Source organism: Homo sapiens, chromosome 3 (assembly GCF_000001405.40).
Source record: "Homo sapiens chromosome 3, GRCh38.p14 Primary Assembly".
Classification (NCBI taxonomy): Eukaryota; Metazoa; Chordata; class Mammalia; order Primates; family Hominidae; genus Homo; species Homo sapiens.
Genome location: NC_000003.12, coordinates 83,947,682 through 83,970,312, shown reverse-complemented (window position 1 = coordinate 83,970,312; position 22,631 = coordinate 83,947,682). Strand labels below are relative to the sequence as shown.

Genomic DNA, 22,631 nt, shown 5'->3' with positions numbered 1-22,631 from the left:
AAATTCACTTTAGGCACCTGACCAGTAAGTAAAATTGCTTACACTTATTTACTTAATTTATGAAAAGTCTTTTACTTATAAGCGAATTCAGTAGACACAGCATGTAACAATTAGTGAACATACAAATAAACAAATCTAGACATGAGTTTATTGTGTATACATACAAGTGAAGTTTCAATAGCTTTTATCTTGGGACTCTAGCCATGAGATAGCAATACAAGCTCACCACAAAACTAAAGCAGTTTACATGACAGTTTAATTTGTTTTTTGTTTTTTGTTTTTGTTTTTTGTTTTTGAGACGGAGTCTCACTCTGCCCGCCAGGCTGGAGTGCAGTGGCACGATCTCAGCTCACTGCAAGCTCCACCTCCTGGGTTCAGGGCATTCTCCCGCCTCAGCTTCCCAAGTAGCTGGAACTAGAGGTGCCCGCCACCACACCTGGCTAATTTTTTGTATTTTTTAGTAGAGATGGGCTTTGACAGTTTAATTTTTAAAGGTTAAACCTTCCCAGACTCTAACACTGGGACCAAACAGTACCACAGGAGAGGATGACATGTTAACCAGGCCCCCTGCTTAGAACAGCAGCACAAAAGCCTGGATACATGCAATTCCATCCCACTTTCCCATTCAACAGCAAACTCCAGATTCCAAATAGTATTGTGGTGAAACAGTATTGCAACTGGCAGAGAAAATTCTAAGAAGGGCTTAGTACTTGACCTGGGGACCTCTACCAAGGGCATCCCCTTTGGAGAGGTTGAGGTCCAGAGGATTCCCTGGGGTGTCCCCCTCTGGAGTCCAATCTTAGATGGACAGATATGTTTGACCTCAGGTGGGCACTGGTGCTGCTTTGCATGTTTTCCCTCCAGAGGTGATGGCCTACTATGAGCTTTCCTTTTGTCCCTGGATGAAGGCCTTGACTTCTAGCATCCTTATAATTTCATAAGGCCTTGTGTTTCCATGTTTCCCACTGCACTAGAGTGATAGCCATGAACTGTAATGACAGGAACTGGAGGATGGGTGGGTTTCTTTCGTCCCTAGCCAGTAGAGTAGGGGAAGGGAAGAATTTAGCATAGGAAAAGAATGTTTAAGTCACCTGAAATGCATGCGAGTTCACCCTGGAAAAGCTGTCCCACATGTAGGGATCAGGGACAACAACTGGAAAAGACAGAAAAATCCTTCCCCCTTCCAGGCATGGTAGCTATCCCCCTTTACTCCTTGCCCTTCAGGTAAACCAGAGAGTGGCCCTGGACAGTTGCGCTCAGTTACTAAGGAGCTATTTAATACTAGGAAGCAGCCATCAAAAGCCTGAAAAAGAAAGAGAGAAAAAAGAAATAAAGGGAAAAAAATCCAGGTCCCTTACCCAAACTGGACGGTGGCTGTTAGGCACCTCCACACAGAAACCCCTTAGTTTCACCAGAGAGTGGCCACAGCCAGAAACCTGTAGTTGTCTCTGTTTAGGCACTGCCCACCAAGGGTCCTGAGTTGGAAATGAAAAGAGAGAGAGAGAGAGATTCCACTGTATGGAGCAGAAAGGAAAAGGTGAAAAATAAATCCCAAACTCTGGGCTTACCTCTTGTCTGGCTCGCCAAAATATGTTACCGGTGGAGGGTGTCCAGGTTCTTGGCGTCTTGAACAAAGATTTGGACAAAATGAACACACAAAGCAAGGAAAGCATGAAGGAACGAAAGCAGAGATTTATTGAAAACGAAAGCACACTCCACAGGGCGGCAGCAGGCCCCAGCAAGTGGCTCAAGAGCCCAGTTACAGAATTTTCTGGGGTTTAAATTTCCTCTGAAATTTCCATTGGTTACTTGGTGTATGCCCTATGTAGATGAGGAGAATAAAGTAAAGTTACAACATTATTTACTCGCTGTACACCCTATGTAAATGAAGAGGATATTTCCTGTCATAGCTGGTGTTTCTGTTTGATTTAATTCTAGGAAGTCCTTATTTTCCCTGCCTCCAAGCCCTATGCTCCGGCCTTATCTACTATTTATTATTATTAAAGAGATATATTACACTCACTTCAATAATTTCATTTGTATCAAATTCTCTTAGAATTTCTAATACAGTTTACTTTATGTAATTAGTTGCTGAAGGGTTTGATACTGTTAGTATGTTTACCTTGTATCATTATCTAATGCCATTCTTTGTCTTATTTGTAATGTTAATCATAAGTTTTATCTATTATATACATTTTCAATTCTTGATTTTTATATTAGGTTGAGCTGACATTTAAAAAAAATACCATAGTCTGAGTGGCTTAAACAATAGAAATTTATTTCTCACTATTGTGGAGACTGGGAAGTTCAAGATCAAGGTTCCATGTCATCTTTCTCTCTCTCTCTCCTTCTTATTAATAAGGTCCCATTATAAAGGTCCCACATTCTAACCTGATCCAACCCTATCTACCTCCCAAGGACCCCTTTCAAACACCATCCTGCTGGGGGTGAGGGCTTTGCCGTATGAATTTGACAAAACACAAACTTTCCATATAACAATTTCCAAACTTTTTTTCACAGTGTTTTATTGTTCCCTCCATCCCGGCTTTATTAAGGTATAAGTATAATTGTAAAAACTTACATATATTTAGGGTGTATAATGGTGTTTTTGTATATATGTAAATGTTTCTAAATGATTCAGTGAAGCTAGTAAACATCCATTATTTCATGTACTTGCTATGCTTTTTGTGGTGAGGACATTAAAGACCTACTTGCTTAGCAATTATCAAGAATATAATGCATTATTAATAACAATAGTCACCCTGCACAAAATAGATCTTCAGAAATTATTCTATCTTTCTGAAACTTAGTACACTTTAGCCAACATCTTTCCATTCCTCTGATCTTCCTCCTACCCTACCCTTTCCCCCGGTAATTACTGTTCTACTCTCATCTTCCTTGAGTCTGACTTTTTCAAATTCCACACATATGTGAGATTATGCAGTATTTGTCTTTCTCTGCCTGGCTTATCTCACTGAGAAAAATGCAATATAGTGTCCTCCAGTTTTATCTATGTTTTTGCAAATGATAAGGTTTTCTTCTCTTTTAAGGCTGAGAAGTATTCTATTCCACTGTGTATGTATATGTCTGTATTTTTCCCCCATTAGTTATAGTTCTGCTTTCTGTGTTTCTTCAGTTACTGGCAGTGCTATGGTTTGCATACAATTTTTCCCCACCAAAACTCATGTTGAAATTTAATTGCCAATCTAACAGTGTCGGGAAGTGGTGCAGCCTTTAAGAGGTGTTTGGATCATGAGGGATCCTCCCTCATGAAGGTATTAAAACAGTCTTGTAGTAGTAAATGAGTTCTCACTCTCCTGAAACTGAATTAGTTACCTTGACAGTGGGTTTTTATGAAGCAGACTCTCTCTCCTGTTTGGTCTGTTTGCACACAACAATTCCCCTTCTGCTTCTCTTGCATGTTGTGATGCAGGATGAGGCTTGTATTGGAAGCAAAACAGATACTGGTGCCATTCTCTTGGATTTTACAGCCACCAGAATTGTGAACCAAGTAGATCCCTTTTATTTATAATTTACCTAGCCTCAAGTGTTCTGGTATATCAACACTAAAGAGAATAAGGCATGTGGTCAACTATGATTTTAAAATATTAAATAAAAATTTTCAGAAATAAACAATTTATAAGTTTCAAATTGAGCACCAATTTGAGTAGCTAGTAAAATCTCATACTATCCCATCCTCTCCTTCCTGGGTCATGAATGATAACTTTATGCAGTGTATCCACACTGTATATGCTCCCTGACAACTATTCTATAGGAAAAAAAAAAAACATAGTGTATGGGGTTTGATATGATCCACAGTCTCAGGCATCCACTGAGGAGCCTGGAACATAATCCCGGCAGATAAGGGAGATAAGGGTGAACAACCGTATATATAGTACACTCCCCAACACACATATAATACGCCATTAAATTAGATAGCCTAGAAGAAATGGATACATTCCTAGAAACATACACCTTACCAAGACTGAAGCATGAAAAATTAGAAAATCTGGACAGACTAATAACTAGTAAAGAGTGAATCGGTAATCAAAAGCTGCCAAAAACAGAAGCCCAGGACCTGAGAGCTTCACTGCTGAACTCTACCAACCATTCAAAAAAGAACAAACACTAATATTTCTTAAGTATTTCCAAAACATTGAAGAGGAGACAGTACTTCCAAGCTCATTTTACATTATCAGCATTACCCTACTTCTAAAGCCAGAAAAGGATACTACAAAAAAAAAAAAAATTAAAGGCTAATATTTCTGATGAACATAGCTGCAAAAGTCTTCAACACAACACTGGTAACCACATTCAACAACATATTAAAATAATTATCCACCATTATCAAGTGGGATTTATTCCTGTATACAAGAGTAATCAAACATATGAATGGAATAAATGTGATGCATCACATTAATAAAATTAAGGATACAAATCATATGATCATCTCAATAGATATAGAAAAAGGAATTGACAAAATTCAACACTTTTTTATTTGAAAAACTTTTAACAAATTAGATATATAAAAGAAATATATCTCAATATAATAAAGGCCATAAATGACAAGTTAACAGCTAATACGAAAAACAAGCAATGGGGAAAGGATTCCCTATTTAATAAATGATGCTGGGAAAACTGGCTAGCCATGTGTAGAAAACTGAAACGGATCCCTTCCTTACACCTTATACAAAAATCAATTCAAGATGGATAAAGACTTAAACATTAGACCTAAAACCATAAAAACCCTAGAAGAAAACCTAGGCATTACCATTCAGGACACAGGCATGGGCAAGGACTTCATGTCTAAAACCAAAAGCAGTGGCAACAAAAGCCAAAATTGACAAATGGGATTTAATTAAACTAAAGAGCTTCTGCACAGCAAAAGAAACTACCATCAGAGTGAACAGGCAACCCACAAAATGGGAGAAAATTTTCACAACCTACTCATCTGACAAAGGGCTAATATCCAGAATCTACAATGAACTCAAACAAATTTACTAGAAAAAAACAAACAACCCCATCAAAAAGTGGGCGAAGGATATGAACAGACACTTCTCAAAAGAAGACATTTATGCAGCCAAAAGACACATGAGAAAATGCTCATCATCACTGGCCATCAGAGAAATGCAAATCAAAACCACAATGAGATGCCATCTCACACCAGTTAGAATGGCAATCATTAAAAAGTCAGGAAACAACAGGTGCTGGAGAGGATGTGGAGAAACAGGAACACTTTTACACTGTTGGTGGGACTGTCAACTAGTTCAACCATTGTGGAAGTCAGTGTGGTGATTCCTCAGGGATCTAGAACTAGAAATACCATTTGACCCAGCCATCCCATTACTGGGTATATACCCAAAGGACTATAAATCATGCTGCTATAAAGACACATGCACACGTATGTTGATTGCGGCACTATTCACAATAGCAAAGACTTGGAACCAACCCAAATGTCCAACAATGACAGACTGGATTAAGAAAATGTGGCACATATACACCATGGAATACTATGCAGCCATAAAAAATGATGAGTTCATGTCCTTTGTAGGGACATGGATGAAATTGGAAATCATCATTCTCAGTAAACTATTGCAAGAACAAAAAACCAAACACTGCATGTTCTCACTCATAGGTGGGAATTGAACAATGAGAACACATGGACACAGGAAGGGGAATATCACACTCATAGGTGGGAATTGAACAATGAGAACACATGGACACAGGAAGGGGAACATCACACTCTGGGGACTGTTGTGGGGTGGGGGGAGGGGGGAGGGATAGCATTAGGAGATATACCTAATGCTAAATGACGAGTTAATGGGTGCAGCACACCAGCATGGCACATGTATACATATGTAACTAACCTGCACATTGTGCACATGTACCCTAAAACTTAAAGTATAGTAATAAAAAAAAACAGCTAATATGGTATTGCACAGTGAAAAGCTATAAACCTATACTCTAAGATTAGAAGCAAGACAAGGATGCCCACTCAAGCCATTTCTATTCAATATAGTACTGTAATTCCTAGCCATAGGAGGTAGGTAACAGAGATAAAAAGTATTCAGGTTTGAGAGAAGTAAAATCATCTCTGTTTGTAGATGACATGAATTTATATATAGAAAACCCTAAAGACTCCATCAAAAAACTATTAAAACAAATAAATAAATTCAGTACAAAGCACATAAAATCAACACATAAAAATTAATAGCAGTTTTATACACTAAGAGCAAACTATCCAAAAAATCAAGAAAGCAATCTTACTTACAATAGCACCAACAAAACCCAAAACACTTAAGAAATAAATTTAACCAAGGAGATGAAGCATCTGTGCAATGAAAACTGAAAATCATTGATGAAAGAAATTAACGGAGACACAAACAAATGGAAAGACATCCCATGTGCATGAATTGGAAGAATTAATACTGATAAAATGTCCATACTACCCAAAACAACCTGCATATTTAATGCAATCCCAATGACAAAGTTACAATGAAATTTTCATAGAAACAGAAAAAGAATTCTAAAATCTGCACAAAACCACAAAAGACCTGGAGTATCCAAAACGATTTTGGACAAAAAGAATAAAGCTGGAGGCATCACACTACCTGATTTCAAATCATACTTCAAAGCTATAGTAATCAAAGCAGCATGGTACTGGCATAAAAACAGATATATAAGGCAATGGAATAAAGAGAGTCATAAATAAATCCAAATATTTACAGTCAATCAATCTTCAGCAAAAGTAACAAGGACATAAAATTAGGAAAGGACAAGTTCCTCAATAAATGATGTTGGAAAACCTGAATATTCACATTGGGAAGAATAAAAATGGATCTTTATCTCACACCATATTAAAAAATCAACTCAAAAACAATTAAAGACTTAAACAAAAGACCTGAAACTCTAAAACCACCAGAAAAAAATCATAAGGGACATATATCTTGGCTTTGGTCTAGGCAATGAAGTTTTGGCTATGACCCCTGAAAGACAGACAACAAAAACAAATACAGATAAATCAGATTATATCAAACTAAGAAGGACAGCAAAGGAAACATTAACAGAGTAAAGAGCCTCCTATGTAATGAGAGAAAATTTTTGCAAACCATACATCTCATAAGGATTTAATATCCGAAATATATAAGGAACTGAAATAACTAAATAGAAAAAATAGAAATAATAAATGTAATAAATGGGCAAAACACCTGAATAGACATTGCTCAAAAGAAAATATTTAAATAGCCAACAAATATATGAATAAATGCTCAACATTTCTATTCATCAGGGAAATGCAAGTGAAAACTGCAATGAAATACCACCTCCCACTTGTTAAAATTGCTGTTATCAAAAAGACAAATGATAACATGTGTTGGAGACAATAAGGAGAAAAAGGAAGCTTTGTGAACTGTTGGTAGTTAGCACATCCATTATGGAAAACTGTATAAAGGTTCCTCAAAAACTTCAAAGAATCACTACCATATGATACAGCAATCCTATTTCAGGACACATATTCAAAAAAATATGATATCAGTATGTTAAAAAGGTATCTGTACCCACCCTGTTTATTGAATTGGTATTCACAATAGCCAAGATGTGGAATCAACTTGCATATTTATCAGTTAGTAAATGAATGAATGAAAAATAGTGCTATATATGCACAATAGAATATTAATAAGCCCAAATAAAGAGGGGAGTCTTTGTTATTTGCAGCATCATCATATTGTTTATACACATTTCTAGTAAACAGCCTTCATGAAGTTCTTTTTTTTATTATTATACTTTAAGTTCTAGGATACAGGTGCAGAACGTGCAGGTTTGTTACATAGGTATACACATGCCATGGTGGTTTGCTGCACCCATCAACCCGTCATCTACATTAGGCATTTCTCCTGATGTTATCCCTCCCCGTGCCCCCGACCCCCACTCAGGCCCCAGTGTATGATGTTCCCCTCCTGGTGTCCATGTGTTCTCATTGTTCAACTCCCACTTATGAGAACATGCGGTGTTTGGTTTTCTGTTCCTGTGTTAGTTTGCTGAGAATGATGGTTTCTAGCTTCATCCATGTCCCTGAAAAGGACATGAACTCATCATTTTTTATGGCTTCATAGTATTCCATGGTGTATATGTGCTACATTTTCTTTATCCAGTCTATCATTGATGGGCATTTGGATTGGTTCCAAGTCTTTGCTATTGTGAACAGTGCCGCAATAAACATAGGTGTGCATATGTCTTTATAGGAAAATGATTTATAATCCTTTGGGTATATACCCAATAATGGAATTGTTGAGTCAAATAGTATTTCTGGTTCTAGATCCTTAAGGAATCGCCACACTGTCTTCCACAATGGTTGAACTAATTGACACTCCCACCAATAGTGTAAAAGTGTTCCTATTTCTCCACATCCTCTCCAGCATTTGTTGTTTCCTGATATTTTAATGATTGCCATTCTAACTGGCATGAGGTGGTATCTCATTGTGGTTTTGATTTGCATTTCTCTGATAATCAGTGATAATGAACTTTTTTTTCAAATGTTTGTTGGTGGCATAAAGTCATCTTTTGAGAAGTGTCTGTTCATATCCTTTGCCCACTTCTTGATGGGGTTGTTTGTTTCTTTTCTTGTAAATTTGATTAAGATCTTTGTAGATTCTAGATATTAGCTGTTTGTCAGATGAATAGATTGCAAAACTTTTATCCCATTCTGTGGGTTGCCTGTTCACTCTGATGATAGTTTATTTTGCTGTGCAGAAGTTCTTAAAACAGTCTGTCTCTCTTTAAAAAACAACTTAGCCCATTTACTTTTTAAAGCAACAAATAAGATTTAACATTTTAATATTATATTTTTCAGAAAAGATGATAAGATCTACAGTTTAAAAATAGTAGAACAAAGGTGGAAAGAAAAGGCAAGTGGCCACAGTCTTTTACAAGCATTTTCATGCCATGTTGTCAGAAATATAATTTGATCTAACTTCCTACTTCCTTATGTAGTCACTTACTCTGTTTACTGCCTCAGTTGACTCTTGGAGTAGGAAATATTTCCAGTGAATATCCATACTTTGAAAAACCTTAATAACACTTTAAAATTTTTCTCTGTTGAAAGCATCTCTTATATAAAACTTGTATTTTAATTAATAAATTTCTACTCTTTTTATTATTAATGCTAGATTCACTGCAATATAAATAAGTGCTCTGTTTCATTTGTATTTTAAAAAATTGTACAGCTACTCTTATGACTTACTAAATTGCCAATATTTGCTCAAAAATATTTATTATGCAAAATAACAAGCAAGAATCATGGAAAGAATATAATAAATGTAATATTCAATAATTATTAACATTTATCATGTTTATGTATTTTTATCTGTAGTAGTGTTAGATACAAATATATACATACATGTACAGAGATAAATAGCATAACAATTACATATGTAACTTACTATTTATTTGGAACTCGTTAGAAAATGATTTTAAAAATATTACTAACATCATAATACTTCAGCATGTGTCTATTTTTTACTAATACTTCAGCATGTGTCTATTTTTAAAAGGTACATTATCCTGTATTCACATTATCAAATATAAAACTACTGAAATAACATTTTCTCTATTCATTGACAATATGATCCTATACTCATAAAACTCTAAAAACTCCACCAAAAAGCTCCTAAAACATAAATGACTTCAGTAATGTTTCAGGATACAAAATCAACATAGAAAAATCAGTAGCCTTGGTATACATTAATGATGTTCAGGCCGAGAGTCAAATCAAATCAAACTCAGCAATAGAAAACCAAATACCACATGTTCTGACTTACAAGTGGGAGCTAAACAGTGAGTACACATGGACATAAAGATGGTAACAATAGCCACAGCAGAATACTAGAGGAGGGAGAGAGGGAGAGGGACGTAGATTGAAAAACTACTTATTAGGTATTATGCTCTCTACCTGGATGACAGAATCTGTACCCCAAACCTCAACATCATGCCATACATTCATGTAACAAATCTTCACGTGTACTCCCTAAATCTAAAATAAATTTGAAATTAGATTTTAAAAAATCAACTAGGTCCCAGTTTGTTCATTGCTGTTGAGGTACCATTGTTCTTGCACATATCAATGAACAGCTCTAGGAAATATATTTTAGTTAAAATAATTCTGCCTTTATGTTTACATTTCCAATCAACATAACAAAGTTCGTTCATTTTTTAAGAATTTTATGTTATTATATTTCAAAATATTGATTACAAGTAATGCCATTTGGATGTTATGTTTTGTTATTTATATATATCAGTTTAATATTATTTGTATATATACATACATATATATTTATATATCTGAATAAATTCAAAATTTGAATAACATAGTAAAATTACTAAGATCAACTTATGTTTTTTGTTTCTTAAGAACATACATACTTTGAGGAATATGTATATTCTTGAGAATATACATACTTTTGTTTCTTAAGAATATACATACATAGAGGATTAGGAGCTAAAAGCTAAGGTTACAGGGTTTTATTTTGAGGTGATGAAAATGTTATAAAATTGTGTAATGCTTGCACGTATCTGTGTATATATTAAAAACCACTGAGTTTTATACTTTGGGTTAATTTTATAGCATGTAATTATATATCAATAAAGCTGTTGAAATACATCCTTTGCATTCTTGCTCCCTTTGAAATCAGGCAAATTTATTTTTAATTTTTAATATTGAGTTTTAAGAATTCTTTATATATTCTGGGCACAAGTTCCTTATCTGATATACTATTTGCAAATGTGTTCTCGCATTGCATGCATAGTCTTTCACTTTCCTGATGGTGGCCTTATTATCATCCATAAAAAGACTATGAAAGATGTGATCTTGCTATGTTTAAATGCAATGATTCTAAGCAATAGAGCTATTCGTGCTTGGCTTTACAGTAAGGAATGCAGCTATGAATTATGTTTCTGTCATTTTTGTCTCTTTCCATCACTCAGCAGTAAAATTTATCAATTTCAAAAAAAAATGTTGATGAAGTACAATGATCTGTTTACCCATTGTCATTTATGCTTTTGGTGTAGTATAAAATATACCCTAAACCAAAATCATAATGATTTACTCCTATTTATTCTTCCAAGAGTTTTACAGTTTTAGTTCTTATAATTATATCGATGATCCATTTAGAATTAATTTTTTACAGGATATAAGGGACATGTCAACATTATTGTGTTGCACATGGTTATTCAGGTGTCCATGCATCATTCCTTTTTCATTGGATTATCTTGGCACCTTTGTGAAAATCAATTAACCATTAATCTAATTAATTAGGTTACTGAAATTAATTAATTGCTAATCTAATTAATTAATGGTATGATTAATTAATTTCTGGGATCTCAATTTCATTCCATTGATCTATACATCTACCTTTATTCCAATATCATGTTGTGTTGATAACAGTAGCTTTGTGATAAATTTTGGAATTGGAAATTGTCAGTTTCTAACATTGTTCTTTTTCAAGATTTCTTTGACTATTTTGAATCCATTGTACCTACGTATTTTCAGATCAGCTTAACAATTTCTGCCAAAAAAAAAGTCTAGCTAGGATTTTGACAGGGATTTTGTTGAATTTATAGATCAATTTGGAGAATATTGTCATCTAAAGAATAAAGTCTGTCATGATTTTTGAATATGGGATGTCTTTTTTTTTTATTTATGTCTTCTTTCATTTCTTTCAACAATGTTTTTTAGTTTGCCATTACATTTTTCAGGGCTTTCCTGGCTTGGCGTCGTGGATTTCTCAGGCATTTGCATTGTATCTTCCAGAGAATATTTTTTGCCTTGGAGTTATAGCATGCTTCTTTTATTTTCAATACTGGTTTAATCACATTTTTTTATTTTTAATTTCTCATGAAATGTTAATGGCAAGAGACATGAACGTGTATGTACATTTTGTCATGATGAACCAGAATACTTTTTATTTTAAAGTTTTTCTCAAATGTTACTTCTTCAGTCAACTTTCCACAGATCTGACCTACAGTTTATGTGTTTCTGATGTGCATCTTAACATTTTATAGATCTATATTTGCACTTATGATATTAAAGTACATACGTTTGTGGCGGTTCCTCCTACTTAGAAAGCTGATATCATATTTTAATTATTGTTGAATCCTTATAGCACAACATGATAAATATATATATATATAAATGGAAAGAATGTTATGGCCAATGTCTTGAAAAGTATATCATTCTATATAAAAAGTAGTAAATATTTAAAGTAGATACAGCTTTGTAATTCTGGAATATCATATGAATATCTTCATAAGTAGAAGGTTTGCATTTAATTGGTATATGTCTGCATCAAATTAAGTGGTAACAAGTATCAGTGTTGTTCGGAGCTGAATGTTGTTTCTCCATAAGGTATGTGTTGAAGCTCTAAACCCCGTACCATAGAGTGTGCTTGTATTTGGAGAAAGGGCCTTTCAAAGGTGATTAAGTTAAAATGAAGCCTTAGAATGGGCCCTAATCCAATCTGACTGATGTCTTTATAATAAAAAATTAGGACATACAAAGAGATGCCACCACACATCTGTGGACATAAAAGAAAGACCATATGAGGACATAGAGTAAAAGCAGTCACACCTGACAGCCAAGGAGAGAAGCCTCAGAAGAAACCACCCTGCTGCTGACGCCTTTATTTTGGACTTCTAGCCTCCAAAACTGTGAGACAATAAATTTCTGTGTTTAAACCACACAGTATATGGTATTTTGTTATGGCAGTAATAGCAAACTAATACAAGTGTCCAGAAATAGTAGTAAACAACCATGATCATTTATGTACAGTTTGTAGCTGTTTCCAGGCTCCAAAGGCTGAGTTGTAGTTGTGGCAGAGATTGTATGTCCTGCAAGTCTAAAATATTTACTATCTAGCCCTTGACAGAAAACATTTGCCAATTCCTGGTGTAGGGATTGGGGATATATGTACATTAGTAAAGAAATTATACTGTATGATGCTATAATTTTTTTAAAAATGTTTCCAAAATGTTTCAAGTATTAACTAGGGAAATCCCACATATCAATAACTTTTTTTTTTATCTCTGTAGCATGAGAGAAAGAAAAAAGAGGTTCTAAATAAATTAGGGTTGCAGAAATTTAGCAGCACATGTGTAGAGTAATTTATTAATAAAAAGTACCATTACTTGTAATAGCAGAACTATTACTTTTATAATAAAACTGTGAAATATTGAAAGGTTAAGAATAAAGTTCCATGAGTTAGTTTTGATGATGAGATATCTGGAATCATTAAGCCATGTTTCATACTGAGGATTTTTTTTCAAATAAATACTCAGATAAATCCAAAATAAATATTATAGTAGAAAGCTAAAAATAAGATATGTCAGATAAAGTCAGATTAAGTTGTGTTAATTATTGTAAAGAGTTATTTACAGAACAGCAGTGATAGTGGGACTGCTACCATCAAGTGGTTCTTATTTTCTGGAGAGTTGGAAGAAGTGTAAAATAATGTCAATGTCAATAAATAAAATGTCAATCCAAATTTTTTGTTGAAATTTGGGAAAATAGCATTTCTCATGGGACTACAGTAGTTGTAGAGAATTGCAAATGCATCGGCCTTCCAAGAAGAGAAGACTCTCCAAGTCCCAAGGGAGGGAGGTGCATGATAAAAGGAAGCTTCCTTGCCAAAAGTTGTTGGATTTGGTTTCTGCAGCTTTATTCAGAACAAAAACAAATTGTAGGCAATAACCTAGGTCTCCCAGCAACACAGACACACAAGGGAATGAAAGGTTGCATTTCATGAACTCACTCACAAAATTAAGTGCGCTAAATAGTTGTATTCTTATTCGCTGTTGAGGGTACAAAGGAAAACATATAAACAGGTAGAGTACCACTGTATTCTTGTGTTCTATGAATGGATGCCCCTACTCTATGCGAGGTGCTGTCAGTGGATCTGAGATAGAGAGAAGGAGGCAGGATCCTTGTATTCATGTAGGTAATAGACTTATAGAGGAAATATGGTAGTCTAACCAATAAAGTTAATCATTTCCTTAAAAATAAAAATCATAAAATTTTAGTTTCATAAAAGTACTCTATGAGATAAATTGTTTAATGTTTTTTCAAGAATTATAAGAAAGCAAGAAAAAAGTTTCTAACCCACAGAAACTCTTAAAAGACAATATTTTTTAGAAGAGTCCTAATATCTACTTTTAAATTATCAAGAATATAGCTAGTACAAAAAGTACTTTAGACATAGAGAAACGTTAAAAGAAAACTAGCAAATCACTGATTTAACCAATTTTGTATGCTCGAGATTTTTAACATTAGTTGCTCAGCACAAGTGGGATAACAGTACCACACACATATTTATTTTTTCTATATAGAAGTAAAATTATAACTTCATAGGAAAACTGCATCCAATTTTATATTTCATAATGTGTTCCCTATAGATCCATCAGCTAGAAGGCAGAATGGGTGAGATATATACATTACACAAAGTGGAAAGTGGGGACTTCGATTGTAATTACCTATTTTGAAATGGGAAATGGTGGTAAAAATGAGCTTCTCGCCTTCGATGTCATAAATTCAGGGACTTTATAACTTCTCTATATGTGCAAAGTAAATTATACTCTAAGACTGAGGTAATTTTCTTCAGATTTCATTCTTTACAATTAAATGGACTGAATATATGTATAGAAACCTCTTAGGAGAATTTCTGGCTCAGGTGCTGTAGAATATGCAAAAACTGTACCTTTGCATTCTTGGCTGGTACAAGGTTGACAGTGAAACAAATTTGCTGTAATCTGATATCATGTTCCTGTTTTAATTATAATAATTTGATATTTGGTGGTCATAACTTTTTCACTACCTCCAACTCAGGATATTTGTTTGTTGTTTTCATGGTAAGATTGTCGAATTTACCTGGGACAGAACCTAACCTTATATCCTTAAAGCAATTCCTTCAAATAAGATTTAAATCCACAATCTGGGTACAGTGGTGAACACCTGTAGTCCTAGCTACTACAGAGTCTAAGACAGGAGCCTGAGCCCAGGAGTTTGAGTCCAGCCTGGGAAACATAGCAAGACAGTGTCTCTAATTTAAAAAGAAAAATAAATAAGTATTCAAATTCAGATGAAAGAGCTGTGTCCTATATTCATGGCAATTGTTCTCCCTAAAATAACAAAGTTTACAGCTCCTCATCTTTTTTAGGTAATAAAATCAACAGCAATTAGTAAAAAACAGGTGATGTTTAATTTACCTGCTCTTTATTTGAAATTATTTTTCTATTAACTTCATTTATGTATTTAATTATCTGCAATTATGTAGACATTTTAATCATTTTACCTCTTTTTCATTTTGTTAATATAGATTATTGCTTACAAAACTTGTAAGCAAAAATTCTACCAGGATCTCCAATTGGAAAATTTGAAATCTTGCCTGGTGATCTAGAAGTACACTTTTGCATGTAATCAGAAGAAAGAAAGAAAATAAGAAAGACAGAAAAATAATTAAGTGAAAGAATAAAAAGGAATGAAGAAGAAAAATTATTTACAAAGTAAGAAGGACAGAAGAGGGAAGAGATAGAAAGAAAGAAGAAAAAGGAATAAAAATGTTTAGTATTTGAGAAAATCTAGCAACTCACAGAAGAGTTCATTTACATTAGGATTTAAGAAAAAACTAAAAAATGTTAAATGGGTATGTAAGATAGGAGTCAATGTAGATTAATCTATCAAAAAGTTAATTGGAACAAATTTATGTTTATTTAAATAACACCTAGAAATATACAGTTATGTCAGATTAATAATTCTAAAATTTTAAACATATGTAACATTTAAATGTAATTGTTTAAAATATAATTAATCCATTATATTTACATATATTTATTTTTCCAATTGCTTACCAATATATAATAGTATATCTCATACTGTAAAGTCAATCTTGTTTTTCCCCTTCCTTCTCTTCCTCTCATTCTCTTTTCTCTCTTCCTTCCTTTGTTTTTTTTTTCCCACCTTTCTCTGTTTTCTTTCTTTCTTTTATCCACTCTTATTTTTTCTCCCCCACCTAAGAGGAACACAGAAATTACAATCAGACTCACAGAAATTGCTTAAAGCAGGGTCAGCAAATGAGGAACACATTTATTGATTAGCTTCTTTGAATTATCTTCTATTTGTATCTTATAAATTCAAATTTAATTATCTATCTTATAGAAGAAATTAGAAAATTATAAACTTTCTAAGCATTAAAACAGACATCTGGTTATTTCCTTGAGTATTAAAACATCCTAGATTTTACTTCATACAGGGAATTCTGAATCATTTCCTGGGCTTAGATAGATGTTTTCTCATGTTTCTTTATAATCCAGGTTTATTTATGATCACGAGAAATTGATGCATTATTAGTCACTGCCAAGCTTCATTTACCCAACTGTATGATGGAAAAAAGAGTCAAGCTTTGCCTATGACATTTTGTACTCCACGAGCCTTACACTTTGCTCTGGGTATACACAATGGAATAGACATTATTTTTTTCTTTTCCTCAGGCAGTATATTTCATGAAAAATTCATTTCTTCCATCTCCCACCTCTAAGTAACTCTGTAAGAAAGGTATACAAAAGGAACTGACCTTTAGTCCATTTGAATGACTAGTCCTGAACTGTTGGCTTGATGTTTTGTGCTTTCACTGTGAGTGTCATACTTCTTATCCTGACTCTTGCATACAAATTTAGCTGCTATCTCCTGTTGTGCTTCACTCATACCAATTAGGTCCTCCACACAGACCTCAGTCAGTGGCTATTTTTGAAGTAGGTTGAGTTCGAAGTTCCTCAAAAGACTAGATTACAAATGTCTGTTTTTCTAACTCTTTAAATGGAAGCATTGAATTAAGGAAAATACTATTGTTCTTAAACATAAAAGGAAATGCAGTAAGCCAGGAAATTTAAAGTTAGGAAATTATCATCATACTGCATTACTCTGTGTCTAACAATGATTAAAAGTTATGAGATCAGGAATGGATAACTGTGCAATAGTTGAATACGTAGACAAAAAATTAAAGAAACAAAGAATGCCAATAAACATAAAAATTCTAGCATGTTATTTTTGAATAAAATCAAACAGATACAAAATAGTATTAATATAATCATAATATCTACTCAGCATTTTGTATACCTCCCTTGGCATTTTTGGGCCACTGCCAGAAAACACAGATGTTTATAACCAGGACAATTATTTTTTCAAAAAAATACATCTAGGAAAAAAATGGACTTAATTCCATTCATCAAAAATTATTGACATGAAATTTCAGAGACAGAAATATTTAAGAAAACATTTTCAAACTTTAGAAGGCTGTAGTAAGATATCTGGGGAAGGAGTTGAAAATAAAGATAAATGATAGTTATTAAAATTCAATGTAAAGGAGAAAATGCTTTTATTCTGTATTTTACATCCCTTCTCATCACGGAATTTGAGATTGGTTGATAATATTTAGCCTGAAATAACTACCCCTAACAGTTGCTTTTCTTTTTTTAATTTTATTAAGATTAAAATTAATGTGCTGTGTCATTATTACAAAATATGAAGAGAGCAGACATTTCACTTTGGTGCAGAATTAGAAGTATTATCATTCATGGGTTTTTTTCTAGCTGTCCAATGAGCTACACTTTTAGGTTTTCTGGTATGAACATCAGAAAATAAGATGGCCTGATCTTTCATTTGATTCTTATGAATTATAAACTTCAGGAAATATATTTTGTGCCTAAGATTTTCCATGAGTTACATGTGAATAAAAATAGACGGATTTAACTGTCATCTCTTTGCTTATAGATAAATCCAAGTGCATTAATGTGGCTCACAAGGCCCATTATGACCTTGTGCCAATTGATTTAACCTGTCTCTTTTGTTTCCTCTCTCACTCAACACCTGTATGGTTCAAATACAAAATTCTCACAAGGCCATATTCTCATTTCTTACAAAAGAATTTTACATCCTTTCTCTTTTAAGAGAAAGGCCATTTGATTTGAGTTTGGACTCCATTTTCTCAAGGAATTCTTCTTAAGTCTCCAAATGTGGCTTTTTGTTCCTTTTGGTTCTCATGGCTTTCTGCATTTAAACTATGGTTGTTCTTCATTATCACCTCTACTAGGATGTTTAATTGTATTTTTTGGTTTGTTTTTTGGTCATCAGTAAAATTTAGCATAGCTTTTGGACCAGAATTTTCTGGTTTATTTCCCATTATCTTGTTTCTACCATGCAAGTCTGGATGGCTTCCTCTCCCCAGAGCACTCTATTTTGACCCTGACGTAATATAGCTCCACCTCTTTGCAGGCAATCTACATTCTCTCTGTTCTCCTTAAAGCCACTTGTTGGGTTTAACGGGTTTCTATATATTGTTTCTATATATACTATATATATATAATACTATATATATATATAGTATATATAATACAAAATACAATGCATTGCTTTAAGTCTACTTTTCATGATTTATTAGAGTTTTCTTAACATAATCATCTAACTAAAAATGTTAGGTGACAATTTTAAAAATATATTTGCAGCCACTTTATATATATATACATATATATGTGTACACATTTTTTGTATATATACACACACTATACATAATATATAGTATATAGCATATATAGTATATATAGTATGTAGTATATATAGTATGTAGTATATATAGTATATATAGTGTATTTAAATTTTTTAATTCTGCAGTGTATTTTAATTTTATTTTCCAATGATTTTCTGTTATATAGAACTACACTTTATTTTGGAACATTGCACAAATTTGCTAAACTTGCTAATGAGTTCTAGAAGCTTTTCTATGGATTCCTTCAATCTTTCTACGTGCATGATTATGCCCTTTACTAAAAGGAACAAATTTATTTCTTTATCTTTATCCAGTACTCAATTTTTTTATGTTCTTATTGTACTAAGATGCACAGTATAATGTTAATTAAAAGTAGTGAACAAATATTTTTTCCCTGTTCTTTATATTTGTATAAAACCTTCAGGTCTGTGTTGTTTAATATAAGGTTAGCTCTAGGTTTCATAATTATGCTTTTTCAAGTTGAGAAATTTTCATTCAACTTTTAGTTTGTTGCAGATTTTATGCTGAATGTGTGTTGAATTATTCTTTCAGATGCGCTCCTTCATCTATAGAGGTGTTCAAATTGTATTTTTCAACGCATTAATGGTGTAAATTATATTGAATGATTTTTCATTTTTATACTAATTGTGCATTTTGAGAATAAACTCAACCCTGTCATGGATCACACTTTTTTATTACTAGATTCAACTTGCTGAAATTTTAAGTTTTTGAGGGTCTGTACTCATAGAAGACATTGGTCTGTGTTTTTCTTTTTTTTTTTCAATGTCTTTGCCTGTTCTTTGGTAACAGTGCTAGTCTCATAAAATGATTGGGAATTGTTACCACCTCTCATTTGCTAAAAAAAAAGAAAAAAAAATTGGGTGGAATTTGAACTATATTTTTCTTAAACTGAAGTAGGATATTTTTAACTATGAATTCTTTTTTTTTTGGAGTCTCACTCTGTCACCCAGGCTAGACTGCAGTGTCTTGATCTCGGCTCACTGCAGCCTCAGCCTCCCAGGTTCAAGCAGTTCTCTGCCTCAGCCTTCTGAGTAGCTGGGATTACACGCGTCCGCCACCACACCCGGCTAATTTTTGTATTTTTAGTAGAGACGAGGTTTCACAATCTTGGCCAGGCTGGTCTTGAACTCCTGACCTCGTGATCCACCCGCCTCAGCCTCCCAAAGTGCTGAGATTACAGGCGTGAGCCACTGTGCCTGGGCTGAATTCAATTTTTAAATAGATATAGAACTGCTCAGATTATCTATTTCCTCTATAGATAGTTTGTTACATTGATGTACACAGATTTATAGTTTTTGTCTTTAAAAGAATATTTTCATATCTAACTTGTTGATATGAAAATACAATTTGTCTTACATGCCGTAGGTAATTTAATATTTTTAAATTATCCTTTAAGAACAGAAGACAAAATTTATATAAATTGTCTTCATGCTCAGAAAAAAAGCCTAGCCTGAAAGCTTATTTAAGTTGTTTAAAGGTATATAACTTTTATTTCTAGTCGTAGACCCAAACGTCACTCCTACTGGATACTGAACAGTGTTATTTCCAAGAGTACTTGTTTGTATACTTTGCATCATTTATTTTTACCATATACTTATTCAAATCCTGGATTTTTATTTTCAAAAATCAGATTCACCTCCAAAGGAAAAATAATAGCACCACACTCAGAACCTTTAAACCAATAAATAAATAAATAATTCAAATACAATCTCCATAAATGACTAGGATATCATTGGATTAAAAGCTTTTCAGAGTGACTGCTGCTTTGAAGATTATTATTTTTTCCTGTGTATTTGTTTTAAAAGAAGCAATATGTCTACAATTTTACCATTCACATTTATTTACCATAAAATGATATTCATCAAACAATATAATTTAAAAATGTAATCATCATATCAATGGATAAAAATAATCAGAATTTAAAATACACCAGTAGATTTTCTTCTGTTCTCTACTGAAACTCATCATAGAATCTTCCAGATATAGGGTATATAATTAGCAAATCAATGGGTTAATTTTTAAAAAATGCAATTTTCAATAATAATGAGAGTTAATATTTCTTATGGGAACTGGCTTAAACTGGGTTATGGGGAAGTATGAATAGCAGAAATAGATTAATTATCTTTCAAATTTGGAATATTGAGATTGAATAAAATGCTTTTTAACACTCTATTAAAATGATATCTTTGTGTGTGCAATTCAGGTCATAGATCTCATTTTTTTTCTTCCCCCACCTCCGCCCCGGCACCAAATTCATGTTTTAAACCATTTCATTGTGAACCACTGAATGGAAATAATGTTTCATGGAATTCTTGCCAATGACACTGAAAATATATTAATGGTTTTACATACATTGATACAGGTAGATTGAGAATCACTGAACAAGCAAAGGTTCTTCACAAGCAACACCATTTTTTGCATAGACATCTTTTATTTGCCAGTCATTTATTAGATGCAAATTTTAAACTTAGATGTCTGCACTAGCACATTTATTCATTTTAGCCAATTTGCTAAAGTAAGCTATAAAATTAGGTTGTAATCTGAAAATTGCATTAGCTCTCAATTATTTGCATACTAATGCTAAGAAACGAATGTTAATCCACTTTTATTTTTTATGATTTCAACATTTTCATACATGCCTACTGCTGCAACATTTGTAACTATACAATTTGTTCTTGGAAAGCTGGCAAATGGCTGTCTTCCAAAAGTTCTTGCCAATACAAATTAATACATACCATAAGAAGTACCCCCAGTGGTATAAAAATGCAGTCTCTTGGTAGTTTTTTCAGAAGAAGCCTGCAGGAAAATTGAATAGCTCTGGCTCCCATACAGCAGACATGAAAACATTTTTGTCTTTAATGTTGTCTCTGATAGTATGTACTGATTCACTCTAAAGTATTCTAGTTTCTATTTTGAAAGGGAGAATTTAAAAAGGCATTCAATGTGCAGATATATGTATGTATGTGTGCTTGTGAACACAAATGCGTACAAAATAGTTATATCTACGTATCTATCTCTAGTCTTAATAATATATTTTAGCTCACATATAAAACTCATATACTCTTGTTCTTCAGACTAAGAAAAAAATCTGATTAAAATATATTAACATACAATTTTAAAGTTATAAATGGTTTTCTTCGAATAACAAGTTTTCTACTTGTGTGAAAAATTATTACAAAAATGTTTTTTTATATATAATAAGCCTTCTGTTTTAGAAAGATAAAAATTTACCCATTTATAAACTGATAAAAATACAGTAAGATAAATTGTAAAGTCATAAGTGAATTTTTATATTAAAATCATCTAAAATGCTTTAAAAATGAACAAGTAGTCTTTTTCGCCCGAAATCTCATAGCATGCAGAGACTCAGAGACACCCACATACATACAACTTCATAAAATGTGTAAAACTATTTTTTAAAAAGAGGATTCTTGTGGGATATATACATGGACACTTCAAAAAATAAAACATCTTATTTTTCTTAAGAAAAAGAAGAGGCTTTGGAAACCTCATGGAATATGACAGTATTTTGACACCATCGGGATATAATTTTAGTTGTTTACATAAAACATTTTTTAGTTAAATTCTACATTTCTTGTAATGCAGTTTACATTTTATTAGAAGCAGAGAGGGATATTATAGACTTGCTTCTTGCCACCTAATTTCTTTCTTATTTCCCACAAACTTATGCTAAGCTACCTCAGCATCAACCTCTCTGATTTAAATTTAAATCCTAATAAATAGATCCATAGGGTAATATAAAAGCCAAAGGCAATGATGTTATTAATCACCTTCGTTGTAACTATATTTGCCAGGATTATTTTAGAATATGTATTTTCTTTTTAGATATCCATCACCTTAGCATAAGCATCTTACTCTCTCACTTAAATACACTTGCCACAGATGTATGTGACTACTCAATACTGTTTATTCATATTTATTATTTTTTCAGAAGACTGTTCTCTGATGCCCTGTTTTTAGGATACTAGAAGCATTTTGGCTGACAACTCTCCTTTCTCTGGACATTCC

The 22,631-nt window shown here is 33.0% G+C and overlaps 1 long non-coding RNA gene across 7 annotated transcripts in view; it reads right to left on the bottom strand.

The window, feature by feature from the left end:
- LOC105377188 (uncharacterized) overlaps positions 1-16,663 on the bottom strand; it is a 98,853-nt gene extending 82,190 nt beyond the window's left edge. For 5 of the 7 annotated variants that reach the window (XR_007096266.1, XR_001740800.2, XR_001740799.2 and 2 more), the window contains exons 1-2: positions 15,892-16,100; positions 1,359-1,475 (exon numbers count right to left, since the gene is read on the bottom strand). This is a non-coding gene — a long non-coding RNA (uncharacterized LOC105377188). Of the gene's footprint in view, positions 1-1,358; positions 1,476-1,568; positions 1,626-15,891; positions 16,101-16,613 lie in introns of those variants that run through there. The other 2 variants (XR_007096263.1, XR_007096264.1) reach the window with 2 other exon arrangements.
- Positions 16,664-22,631: the final 5,968 nt, after the last annotated feature.